At 40.7% G+C, this 14,170-nt stretch overlaps 1 protein-coding gene and 1 long non-coding RNA gene across 9 annotated transcripts in view; both read right to left on the bottom strand.

Annotated features, from left to right (window-relative positions):
- Positions 1-584, bottom strand: part of LOC101928446 (uncharacterized) — a 56,320-nt gene extending 55,736 nt beyond the window's left edge. Inside the window, exon 1 of the long non-coding RNA NR_110938.1 lies at positions 414-584. This is a non-coding gene — a long non-coding RNA (uncharacterized LOC101928446). The remainder of the gene's footprint in view (positions 1-413) is intronic.
- The window catches only part of CDH13 (cadherin 13), a 1,173,672-nt gene that overhangs the window by 1,026,738 nt on the left and 132,764 nt on the right, over positions 1-14,170 (bottom strand). The window lies entirely within an intron of this gene.

Raw genomic sequence — 14,170 nt, 5'->3', positions numbered from 1 at the left:
CTGAAGCAGGAGAATTGCTTGAACCCGGGAGGCGGAGGTTGCAGTGAGCTGAGATCGCGCAATTGCACTCCAGCCTGGGTGACAGTGTGAAACTCCATTTAAAAAAAAAAAGAAGAAGAAGAAGAAAAACAATATTCACAGATAAATTAAGAAAAAGAAAAAAAAATGCAATGTTGGCAACATAAGGCAAGATTTATTTTCAGTTTGCTTCAGGTCAGTTACTTCATAATGGTAACTGAACACACATACATACAAATGTACATACATAGAGGAAAATATAAAATGAATTGGAGATTGATGACACTTGAAAGGTAGCTCTAGAATGTACTGTTACAGGATAAAACACATGATAAAAGCACCTGAAATACAAAGCTGAGACCTACCTAATGTTCAAAGGAAACTTCCAGACCTACCTCCACTGTGTCACAGGGACAAGTCCACCTATTATTTCCTCCTGCAGGACTGTTTATGTCAGGGGATCCCTGGGGGCCCAGAAGTGGGAGCAGGGCAGGGGTGGCAGCCTTCCACTTCCAGACCCTTCATATGTCCTTGCTGCTGGCTACTACATCAATCCAGGGATGGGCAAGCCAGAGAAAGGAAAGAAGAACTTTCACAAAGCAGTGGCTCTTATGGCAAAGGAAACCACAAAGAACAAGAGGGACATTTATCTCTCTTACCACAAAAAAATTCACACAGCCTGACTGCTAATGATTCTGCTGGCTCAGCCCCATGTCCCAGGTTTGCTCTGCCTTTCTCAGCCTCTGTATCATTTGTTTTGGGCCAGCCTGGAGCTGATTCTGAGAGATGAAAGGAGTGTATCCAGACTTCCATCCCTCGATGAGATTTGAGTTCTATCCTTTCCACACCAGGAGGCCCAGCTACTGATTCTGGGCTCTCGTGCGCTCTCTACATGGTTTTTTTTCCTGATAACCAGATGGTTAAGCCTATAATCACGTAAAATTAGGTTACTCCCAGGTCATCCTGATGGCCACTGAAGCAACCTATGCCCCCACAACCATGTGTACTCAGTCCATAGGAAGTGGGACCTATTCTGTCAAAGTTATTCAATCTTTGCATTTGGAGTCAGATTGAATGGGTTCAGAGCTCAGCCATCCCACTATGATGTTAGACATATTACTTTACTTCTCTAAATCTCAATTTTATCATCTGTAGAAGAAGGATGACAAAGATGATAATAATAGTTAGAGTGAGGATGATGATGATGAAATCTACCTCCTAGGGCTCCTATGAAGATTAGCCAAAGTAAAGCATCTAGCTCAGTGCCTGGCAGTGCAAGTATTCAGTAGCTTAGTTAGCTATTTTAATCTCAGTTATTTCTAGGTTTTTTTCTGCGTAGCATGTCTCATACCCAGGCCACCTCAGGTTGAGAGACCTTGCTCTGAAATCCAGCATGTTCCCCTCCCTCTCACCAGTTCCCTTTTTCTCACACACCTCTGCCTAGCCTGTGTGGGCAGGGGCAGGTTTCCTACCATATTGCAGCTGGTATACATGAGTGCTGCAGTAGATGCTGTCCCTGCACCATCCACATCCCCTAGATTTTCTTTGCCATTTTAGTGCACACGGACCCCCAGTATGCTTCCATTCCCAAAGGCCAGCAGCTCCGGTAGTATGCCAGTAAATATTTACTGAACACTTCTGGGTGGAGGGAAGGGAGCCCTAATTTGTAATGTTGGCCAATTTCCATGGTGTAGATACTCTCACCATGGCTGATTTCAAGCTGTCAGTGGGGTCAACCAGATTGCAAAATTCCTAACAATTTAACATCCAGCTCTTCCAAGCCATTGCTAACCGACACCAGCACATCAAGGGCATCTGTGTCTTTTTCCAAAAGGCTGCATCTAGTGGATCTGCTTTGTCTGTAACACATGAAGTACAGAAGCATCTGACAACTTGTGCCCCTGCCTGCCCACTATCCCAGCAGCCTTTAACCAAGGACTTGTGGGTCAAGAGTTATAAATACTCAAGTTGCCTTGCCCCAAAGGGGCCAGCACTGAAGTGCAAATCACATCATTCCCAGTCTCCCTGGAAGATGAGGCCAAAGTTATCTCAATGGAACTTCGCTTGAGATGACACCCTTGCTCAGTCTCCCTCTTGCCAAACTCAGTTCCCACTTCCCTATACGTTTTTCCTAGCAACCTTTCCGATACATCACTTTAACACAAATTCTCATCCCAGGACCTTCTTCTGGGGAAGCAAACTTAAGGCAGCACTTAAGAGTTTGCATTCTAAAGCTGGACAGACCTGAGCTCAAATCCCAATTCCGATACAAGCTGGTGGACTGGGGAAAGTTACTGAAACTCTCCGAGCCTCCGTTTCTCCATGTCCTTTGCCTCACTGTCTCCACTTTCGGGGAGGAAGAGTCGTTGAGTGCACAGGTGTGGTGAAGCGAGCTGTAATGCTGACGGCAGAATAGATTAATTGCCCTTTACAAATGCTATCAAGCAGCCTCTACCTAGACCCTTACAAACACCAGTCATATTGGGTCCAATGGTACCAATTTAATATATCCTTTCTAAGCAGACAATCCCAAACTTGGAAAGTTTATGTACACAGATAACCAGTTTAGCCCAGTGCTCTGTATATAATTGACATATAACACATTTTAATTAATTGATAAGTCAAAGTATTATTTATCATTGTAAAAAACTGGAAAGCACCTTGATTTCAGTGAATGAACACAAAGGAAGAGCTAAATATTCTGGGTCTGACTTGTGATAAACAAGTTATGCATTGTTAAAAATTATGTTTGCAAAAAATTATAAAACAATATAAAAGGGTTTATGAAGTATAGTCAAACAAATTTCAATTCACGCTAAAGTCACAACTTAATTTTTTAAAAATATACACATAAAAAATTGGAACTATTGGGCCAGGTGTGTTGGCTCACGGCTGTAATCCTAGCACTTTGGGAGGCCGAAGCGGGGGGATTGCCTGAGCTCAGAGCTTAGTAGTTCAAGACCAGCCTGGGCAATGTGGTGAAACCCCATCTCTACTAAAATACAAAACATTAGCCGGGCATGGCAGTGTGCGCTTTTAGTCCCAGCTACTCGGGAGGCTGAGGCAGGCGAATTGCTTGAACTTGGGAGGCGGAGGTTGCAGTGAGCCGAGATCACGCCACTGCACTCCAGCTTGGGCAACAGACTGAGACTCTGTCTCCAGAAAAAAAGGAAATATAGAAAATAAGTGTGCCACAATAATACTGAACTAAAATATGTATCTCCAAATGGAAGAATATTATGCAGTAATTGAAAATTGACTGCTTAAAAATCATGAAATGACATCTGTCTATGGAATGTCAATATAACTCAAAGCATAATGATTGAATATGTAACTATATAGATTAAACTTATGATGATTTTTTAAGCAGGATAGTGAATATATGATTTTTGATGAGTCAAACTATAAAAAAACTAAACCAACAATTTCAAAATGTATGCATAAAGGAAAAAGACTAAATAACTAAACGGTCAAGAACCATTATAATTGGACTGCAAACTTTGAGCAATTTTCTTCCTTTTCCTTTTTTACGTTCCAAATTTTCTCTAATTAAGGAGAATTACTTTTATAATAAACAGAATTTCTGATTGGTTGGGTAACAACAGTGCAATGTGCACAAAAACACACACTCACACAAAGGAAATATTAAGGAAAGCAAGGGAAAACATTACTATTCGAACACTATTCTCTAATACTTTCCAAATTTGTTTTCTAATAAGACCAAATCACAGCCAGGTTCTGTGGCAGTTACCAGCCTGAGCTAACTAAATAATCTGACTCAAAGGAGAACTTCCCAAGCCATAGACAGTTGTGCTTTGGCTGACATCCAGCTCTGGCAAAATTAGCTGGGGACAGCAGCTGGGTGGTACGGTACACAATTCAAGAACAGGGAAATCTAGAACTCTATGCTTATTGAAAATCCAATTCAGTTATCTTTGTCTGTGCCGTATGCACCATGCATTCATGGGCTCGTTAATCTCACCATTGAAATCAAATTTCCTCTCTGACTTATCCTGTCACATTTCGTAGGTTTAAGTCCATTGTTTCCAACTGAATTTTGCTTTTTAATTGCAATGCATTCCGGTAAATGTGTTCTTGCTGATGCATTAGAAAAGCCAGGTCAATGGAAACACATTGATTCACCACCTGGTGGGCACATGTCTTTCTGTGAATAATTTGTCATTTGCAAACATAAAGTAAAATCTAGGGCATCATGGAATTGCTCCTATCCTCCTCAATCAATTCCTATCATAAGAAAAGTAGCATTCATCCTGGTAATATTCATTCACTTATATGTAGGGTGGCATCAGGAGACATAAACGTCAATGGCCACTAATGTCCTCTTCAATGTTACCATTCTCCAGAATTAGAGGTTCAACGTGGCCTCCATAAAGACAGAGGTATCAGCCTTTATTTCTTCTTCTTCCCTGATGCTGAGGGCATGAAGCCTTTTTAATACCCCATTTTCTAACACAGGAGGATACAGTATATAAAACCTGCCATCTGGCTCTTTCTTTTTTTGATGAAGCCATTTACATTTTCTTAGTATAATTAGGATTGCACTGTGACTTGTCAATATTCTTCTGCCACGGCACCAAATAACAGTTTAAGTATACCTGCAACTTTGATGATTTATTTGTTGCAGCACGCTTTCAAGCACTAGTGAGGGATAATTACCAGGGAGATTATTACATGGTGTTGGGTTAATTAAATATGATAAAGCCATTTGCCTGTGACATGATGGGTCTGTTTAGATCTAAATGATATAAAATGGTTAGACTCATCGAAGACAACATGATGACCTCACAGAAGATTATACCTAACCAAAATAGAATCCTGCTAATGATGTTTCAGAATTTGATGTTCTATCTCAATCTTGCCAGCTGTCTTTTTAATCAGAGAGATGCCATTACAATGATTATTCTTGAACATTTGTGCCCAGCCCTCAAGAGAAAGCAAGAGACCTGCTAACTAACTCAAAATGTTTGCAAAATACAAAATATTAAAGGTGTGAAAGGGAGCCTGCGGACACAGAATTGCTTCTGATCTTCTTTGCTAGGCTGAATCAGAGTAAGTATTAACCGAGGATGGTCTGCTGGGTTAGACAGCAAAGAAACAAGAGGTCAGAGCCTGATGTTCAGTGGCTGCTGAACAATATCCCTCAACCAATGGAAATGTTGCTGAGCTGTAAACAGACCTAAGCACTAGGCTGGATGATCCTGAAGCCCAGCTCTCCTAACCTGCCCCAAAGATTTTGAGATAGGGATAAAGATTTCTATTTTAATTCCAGAGCAGCAAGAAGAGAGATCAAGGCTATACCCTATTTTTGAAGATATAAAAAGCACCTTATACCATGAGGATTAATAGCTGGAATCTACCATGCTGTGGTAGTAAAATGGCAATAAAATGAACACATTCCTTATTGCCTAACCTCCATTTCCTTGGGAAGGCCAGGTTGACAGACACAAATTCTGCAAAGGCTGTAGTGGCTGAAATGGTCAATTCAGTCAAATCTCCAATAAGCCCAGTCCCACAATATCAATGAAACTAATTGCTAAAATGACTGGCCATGTGAGAGGCATCATTATCAACTAGCAGGTATCTATCAGCACCTTGCACAGTCAGGCCACTGCAGGGAACACCTTATGAAACTTTATTCCTGTCAATAGTAAGACATCAGCTTGCAATTTAGTTGAGAAAATTAGGCACATGTTGCATGATTGTGTAGCATTCCCACCAGCCACAAGGTGCGTCTCTCATGACTTCATGTTTAGGCTTCTTCCACATGACAGCAATCACTCCTGACAGTTTCCTTCCCTTCTTTACTCCTCCCTCTTGAACCTTTAGCCTCAACCCAAGGCACGCCCATGACTCAGGGATGGTCCCCTTGGCTCTTTCCCCATCACTCCTCACTCTTCGTTTCTCTTTGAGGCCTTGCAATGGTCACTCTAGATCCACTCCTTTTGGCTCGTGGGGTGAAGAGTACCTGTGGTCTAGCCCCTCCCTGGAAAGCTAAGTGAGCACATGGACCCTCAGTGCCAGTGCTCCCACCTAACTCTTCCTTAGTTTATGACCAGGAGCTGATCACTGATGACAACATCAACAGTTAATGGGATGGCAGTCCAGTGTCCAAAGGAGAGAGAGCTCAGGCAGAAACCCAAGGGAGTCAATGCAGACTTTGGAAAAGTTTGGGATTGGAGCTGATCTCCAGAGGAAGGGCAGAATATGAACAGCCAGAGTCCAGGGAGTGATGGAAAGAAAGAACATGAACAAAGGCACTATGCTGGGGAAGTTAAAGGGGGCAGGGACCAGGAGCACACAATGTGTTTGGCACAGGGAATTTAAATCTGGCATCAGGGTAAGCTAGACTTCTACAAACACAAAAATATTTGTTTTTCCCGATTCAGAAAGCACATCGGTGCAACAACATGCAAGGATCCTAAAAACAACATGTTGAGTCAAGGAAGCCTTACATAAAAGAGTATGTGCTGCATGATTCTATTTATATCAAGTTCTAGAACAGATAAAACTAATCCAAGATAGAAAACAATCAGAGCAATGGTTACTTTTGCTGTGGTAGGAGTCAGAATTGACTCGGAAGAGGCTTGAGGGAACTTTCTGCAGTAATTCTGCATTTTGGCAATGCTTTGGGTTACACAGATGTGTGTATTTGTTAGAACTCAGAATACACACTTAAGATTTATGCATTTCACTGTGTGTAAATTTTACATCAAAAGAGAAACAATATGTAAGCAAATATTGAACTCTACTGAAAAATATGCATGCTGAAGTATTTAGAGGGAGAGCATATCTACAATTTATTTTGAAATGTGTCCAATCGAAAACATGAGGTAGATTAGTGGATGGACGGGAGACACACAGAAGGAAAGATAGGTGGTAAAATGCGTGGATTAAATGGTAACGGTAGAATCTAGGTGGTGGGTACATGAGTGCTCACTGCAAAATTAAACTTTTCTGTACGTGTAAAAAATTTTATAATGAAACATTATTTCTAAAAATATTGTATGTCGGGTACAAATACATCTTCAATATAAGGTCAATATTATATGTTATAGTATATTTTATATTATATAGTCAAAGGACATCTCATATTTTGCACCGAGGAATGCTGAGAAGAAAGCAATTTGGGGGATTTGATCAGATGTATTTATTTGGATAATGATATAAAGGAATATATTGGATAATGATATATGGTAAAGACATAAACAATGAGGGCTCCTATTATTATGATAGAGTGACCACTGTCTCTGTATGAAGCATTAGGTATTGTCTCATTTAGTCCTCACAAGAGCCTCAGGAGAGAGATAATGAAGCTCAATAGATTAACTGCTTTGTTCCAAGCTAACCAGGCAGAAAGGTGTACTGGCAGAATCAGGATTCCAACCCAGGTCTGACTGATCCAGAATCCATGTGGCATCTTTGCACTTTGTCACAATACTCTACAGTTATCCTTGGCAAGGTAGAATATTCCCCAACCTCAGATCATGCCTCCATTTTCTTCAGTATTCAGGCAAGAGATTCAATCCTTCAGAAACAGTTTGGACCTGGTGTTAAATATATCAGCTACGGATTTACGGGTTTTGCAAATTATTCTCAGTGCATCTTGACCTAAATTCTACACATTTTCCTTGACTTAAAAAAAGAAGTTACGCTAGACATCTCACGAATAAGACTTTTTAGCAGAAGCCTAAAGAAGACTCCAGGACTTATTTCAGAAGAGTGATTTTCATGTTGGGCTTCTGGAAACAGAAGTGAGGTGGTGAGGAAAATATTTTGGGGGCAGCCCGTTCTTAGGGCACCTCAATTCTTAAGCTTAGTAATAAAACCTCTCCAGAATATAAAGAGTTGCTGTAGATTTCTCTATTAAGCTTGGACTTTGGGGTAGCATAGACGTGCATTCTGAACTCACATAACTATGAGAGATGATTTTATGAGAAGTGATTTAACTCCTGTGAGACTCTGTCTTCTCATATAATGGGGATAATTCCATGTAATTCTCAAGTCATTATAAGAAGAAACCAATATCCAAGAACTTACAGGGCCTGGTCCTATGTAGATGCTCAATGAAATTTTATTTCCTTCCCACTCTCTTCCCCGGGCCACAGGAAGACATGACACTCAGAGAGTTAGACTGTGAAATACTCTTCAGAGGTATGTTTAACACCGAAAATTAGCAATTATGCCTCCCTTAGAATGCTTTTTCATTGAGAAGCTTATAGTATAAAAAATTATACACTTATGAAGGCAATTATTCTCTTTTATGCCACATGATTTTCTCATCATAAATACCCGTGCACAATGTAGATTCCCCATTGATAGCAGCATCATCAACGCCAGCCCTAGGAAGGCTCACGGGGTGGTTGGTGGGGAGCTGTCAGCGGATTTTCAGTTGGAAACAATGCAGTCTATGATTTTGACAGTTAAAATAGAAGGAGTAGGGAATCAATTTCCATTTAAGACTTTTAGAGCTGGGCACTGAATGGAAACTTGTTGAATTGAGCTAAAGATGAGGAGGCTTTACACCAGATGCATAATAGCAGTATCTTTACGAGCAATCCCTTAATGCTGTAGAAGGGCTTATAGTCTTGGTAATCGGAGCTTCAAGAGGTATTTAGCTGATAGAATTCTGAAATTCACTGTGAATCAGAGGACTCAAATACTCATCTCTTTAAAAAGTAAAAGAATAAACAATATTCAGTTTGTTCTGACACATCCATAAACTACATGGAGCTAAGGGGCTTCCACAAAGAAATGAATGATTTAAGAATGAATGAAGGCAGTGCACTTTGGGAGGCCAAGGTAGGCAGATCATCTGAGGTCAGGAGTTTGAGACCTGCCTGGCCAACATGGTGAAACCCTGTTTCTACTAAAAATACAAGAAATTAGCCAGGCATAGTGGCACACGTCTGTAGTTTCAGCTACTCGGGAGGCTGAGGCAGGAGAATCGCTTGAACCTGGGAGGCAGAGGTTTCAGTGAGCCAAGATTACAACATTGCACTCCAGACTGGATGACAAGAGTGAAACTCCATCTCAAAAAAAAAAAAAAAAGAATGAATGAAATGAATGAAGATGAAGGGACTCTGTGAGTGTGGTTCCACATCACAAGATAAAGAGATAAAGGGACACAAACCAGCAAACAAAATTACCTCCTGAATTTGTGTCTTTCATTCATTATTCAACACACATTTATTCGTGTCCTTCATGTATTATTCAACACACGTTTATTGAGCACCTACTGTGGGCCAGGCATCATGCCTTCACTATGTTCTCAAAATACATCTGTAGAATAAATGAACACAAATTATACCTCATATTTTTAATCCCACTAAGGCTGTATATTAGATCTCAAACTGCTTGCTCTGCTAGCACATCTATCTGCTTCCCTCCCACCCCCAGGTTAAACCTCTTCCCTCTTCTGAACATAGATTTGAGACTTCCCTTTCCATTTCTAGTTTTATTTCACTAAGAGCTGAAAGAATCCTCCTCAGAGAGTAGAGGAGAAGAACTTAAATAGACAAATGAGAATCCTTTCTAGTAGGTAAGTAGCAAGACCATGGTATTGGGAACCAAATAATCAGCTGCTGAATTCAGTTTCTAGATCCCCCAGTTCTGAGCTGCATGACAATTCAAAAGTTGCAGTCATGCTTAGCCTGTGTACTTGTCTGTAAATGAGGAATATGTATTCTAACAACAACAACAGCAATAATAATACAAATAACACCTACTTTGTAGCTTCTGGTGAGAATAACATGTGAAAAGGAACAAGCCAGGTCTACGGTCTGGGCAGTAATAAAAGGTTGATGCATTAGCGCATACTAAAACAAGCAGTTTGGAATGTGAGATGCAACCAGTCCTTGTCACTCTACCCCTTTCCTTTTCAAATCCAGGGATGGCCAGGCACAGTGGCTCACACCCGTAATCCCAGCACTTTTGGAGGCCAAGGAAGATGGATTGCTTGAGCCCAGGAGTTCAAGACCAGCTTGGACAACATGGCAAAACCCTATCTACAAAAAATTACCTGGGCGTGGTGGTGTGCACCTATAGTCCCAGCTACTGGGGAGGCTGAGGTGGGAGGATCACCTGAGCCTGGGCAGAGGAGGCTGCAGTGAGCTGTGATCGCACACTGTGCTCCAGCCTGGGTGATAATAGTGAGACTCTGTTTCAAAAAATACGTGAGTAATAAAAATAAAAATAAAATCCAGAGGCTCATTATATATCTATTGAAAAGACAGATATCAACTCATGTATTCACTGTTGTTGTTTTCAATAAATTATCATTGTCAAATATATGCAGACATTGCATTTTTAAGTAAATAATATGTTTTGACTGAAATTGTTGGCCAGTGGCTCTCATCTCCATGTGAACCTTTTCATTTTTTCTTTCATTCAGCAAACAGTTGTTGAGTGTTCACTATGTCACAGGTGCTCTGCCAGGATTAGGAATTAAACAGAGACCAAGACAAGCAGAGAGCCTGTATTCACAGAGCATGTATTCCAGAGGAGGAGGTGGAAAATAAGCAACTTATAAATGATTTACTGTGTCAGGAAATAAGTGCTGTGAAGAAAAAGCAAAGCAGGATAAAGGGACAGAGAGTGATAGGAGACAGGAGGCACGTTGATTTATGTAGGGTAACCTGTGCAAAAAGAGGATGTTTAAGTAAAGATTCTAATTGAAAGAAAGAGCAAGGCTTACAGATACTGGGTGGGGCAGGTCAAGCAGCAAGAGCAGCACATACAAAGGCCCTGCGGTACAAGGACGCCTGGGGTGTTCTGGGGCTGGTGAGGCCCAAGGTCCATACTCACATGCTTATATAAAATCTATAAATGTCAAGGTACTGCTGGTTATTTTTTCACACAGTAGCACCACGAATGTCCTGTTTTGTACTTGCAATCTTAGAGCAGTTCATGTACCTCCCGGAAAGCATAGGAGATAATTATCTTTCCTAAAAAACATCATTAATCCACTTTAAGGACTCCACAATAATGGCTATTAATGAAGAGAGTGCCCACCCAAACCACCCCTGGCATCCCCAAGCATGAGAATCTGTTGATGAGAAAGACATTTCCAAACACATGCAAAGACAGCAGAACTCTTCTCTTCCTCTTTCTCCAACACAGCAGGTCTTTGCTTTTGGCACCCAAGTTTTGCTCAAGGCATTCCAGGGAACCCCTCCAGGAAGTCCAGTACGCCCACTGTTTGGCCAGGGGATTTTAATAAACAGTCATGGAAGCAGTGACCCAGCCAGGAACATGACCATCACCAAGAACACCAAGATGGGGAGAAGTGCAGATCAAGAAGCAAAGCTGAGAGTCTGGCTTCTAATTAGTAGAAAGTTAAAGTCATTTTGAATCATTAGAATTACTGACTTAGGGGTTTATTAAATAACATCCTCTCACATACATTTTCTATTAATACTCTGTGGTAGCTCCCTTTAGCTACAGCACTTGAGAACTTTGTGCATTAAGAGATAATATTTTAGAAAATCACAGGTATATTTTGTGCCAAGAAGTACAAGCTTGAATAATTTTCTTTTTATGAATAGTAGATAACAATTTAGAAGTAATCAATTCTAACGGCACAGAAGTCTTAAAAATCCTCAGCATCAGATCATCGTGGGAGCAGAAAGAGAATCTTAGTAATCATTACATTCAACCTCTTCATTTCATCTTTGGGAAGAGAGAGTAGCAGGGTGAAGTCCGATGTGCAGGTCACTTGGGGGAAAAGAAGGGGACTGCAGCCAGCAGTCCAAGGTACTCTCTCTTGCCTAGCTGCTTCCTTTCTAGCTTCCGATTTGTGGTTTCACTTTCCAGCTCCACTTGACACAGTCTGTAAAAAATTCAGCAAGGCTTTCAAGTGCTTAAATTGCCATTTCTCTTTGTCTTTTAGCTTTTGTGCCTTTAATGCATATCTCACCTGTGAAAACTCAGTGTAAACAGAAACCATTTTTCTTATTATCTAAAGTTATTATATTTTGATATTTTTCCTACTAGGATGTGTGTGTATGTGTCTGTGTGTGTGTATAAAAAATCATAAGTCATGATAAAAAAATCTTTTAGACATCACTTCAAATCTCACAGCTTTGAATCATTCTCACTCTTAGCCCTCAAAAATATGTCAAATTCTCCTCATCACAATGCAACTTGGAAAAACACTAACTTAAACAAGTGGAAGTTGTTGAGATATGAAACAAGTGAAAAATATTTTTTGGAACTTTATGTGACTTTTAATTATATCTAATCACAAGCCTACAAACTGCCAGTTAATTGTTGCCTTCCCTTGGCCTTGTTCAGCATATTCATGATGCAATGCCATGTGATGAAACCAACTGATCCCAAATAATTGATTGAGAAGTAGCCTTCTGAGGTAGAAAGAACATGAAAGCTAAGTTTAGACAGCACTGACTCTGAACATCAGAAGTTGGCTGGCTGCCCCACACTCTGTGACTAAATGTTCTCATCTGAGGAATGAAAAATAAGTAGTATTTATCCTACTGGTTGTGACATGATTTGGATATTTGTCACCTCCAAATCTCATGTGTTGAAATGTGCCGGGCATGGCGGCTCACGTCTGTAATCCCAGCACTTTGGGAGGCCGAGGAGGGCAGATCACCTGAGGTCAGGAGTTCAAGACCAGCCTGGCCAATATGGTGAAACCCCGTCAAAAATACAAAAATTGGCCAGGTGTGGTAGCACATGCCTGTACTCCCAGTTACTTGGGAGGATGAGGCAGGAGATTCACTTGAACCTGGAAGGCAGAGGTTGCAGTGAGCTAAGATCATGCCACTGCACTCCAGTCTGGGTGACAGAGTGAGACTCCAAAAAAAAAAAAAAAAAAAAAAAAAAAAAGAAAGAAAGAAATGTGAACCCCAGAGTTGGAGGTGGAGGCTGGTGGGAGATATTTGGCTTATGGGGGTAGATCCCTCCTGAATGGCTTCCTGCCAACCCTGCGATCATGAGTGAGTTCTCCCTCTATTAGTTACTGCAAGATCTGATTGTTGAAAAGGGCCTGGCACTTCCTCCTCTCTCTTGCTCTCTCTCTCACCATGTGACATGCCTGCTCCCCCTTCACCTTACACCATGATTGTAAACTGCCTGAGGCCCTCACCAGAAACAGATGCTGGCACCATGCTTCTTGTACAGCCTGCAGAACCGTAAGCCAAATAAACCTCGTTTCTGTAAATATTACGCGGCCTCAGGTATTCCTTTATAGCAACACAAAAGGGACAAATACAGGTGCTATCAGAGTCATATAGAAATAACTTCTGTTTCCCTCTTGTATGATTCCTAGTATGCAGTAAAGACACTCAATAAATACCATATAACTGGTACATTTTTGTAAACAGGGTCCAAACTATGAATCTCCTAAAGTAAGGTGTTGTAATGCCATAATATTAATAAAAGTACAAAATTTTTCAGTTGGTCTCTACTCATAAAATCATAAGATAAACAATGGTGAATTTTACACTAGATGCAAATGACAGTGTATCAAATGACTATGATGTGGCCACTTCCTAAGCCCAATGCCTCTTCCGACCTTCCAGCAAAAAGATAAGAATTCATCTCTCCCTGTTATTTTGATAACAGGCTAATTGCATTTTTGCGGGGGCGGTACTATGTTCCTTCTACCCCCTCAGTAAGTACCCGCAATGAGCCGGGTGCTTATGTCTAACTGGCACAGATATGCCTATGTGTGGAGCAGCCCTGAAATAGGTGTTCTGGAAAATATTTGTGTTCCAGAAAAACTCTATGCTTAGGAAAATTGTGCAATAAAATCATAAGGATTTTGGAAAAGACAAGATTAGAGTAGAATGCTCCAGATCTTTGCAACTTTGTAATCACATAATTATTGCAAATAATAATTATAATCATAATTTTTAAACCTGGTGTGTTTGAGAAGACATAAATTGTTGATAAATGAAAACTTACAGTAAATATAAGGCTTTCCCTTTAAAAAATGTGGATTGGGGCTTGGTAGACGGGTTATAAGGAAAGGGTGAATCTGCTGAATTATGGCAACAGAGGCGCAGTGCGTCAGGATAGGGGAGAATTACTCAATAAGCACTTCTAAGACAGAGGATTTGGCAAGTGAGTCAAGAGGCAGAACCTATTTGAATTCTATAGACCATTCTCT

The sequence above is a fragment of the Homo sapiens genome, chromosome 16 (assembly GCF_000001405.40).
Source record: "Homo sapiens chromosome 16, GRCh38.p14 Primary Assembly".
In the NCBI taxonomy this organism is placed as follows: Eukaryota; Metazoa; Chordata; class Mammalia; order Primates; family Hominidae; genus Homo; species Homo sapiens.
This window is presented reverse-complemented; position numbering and strand designations above follow the sequence as displayed.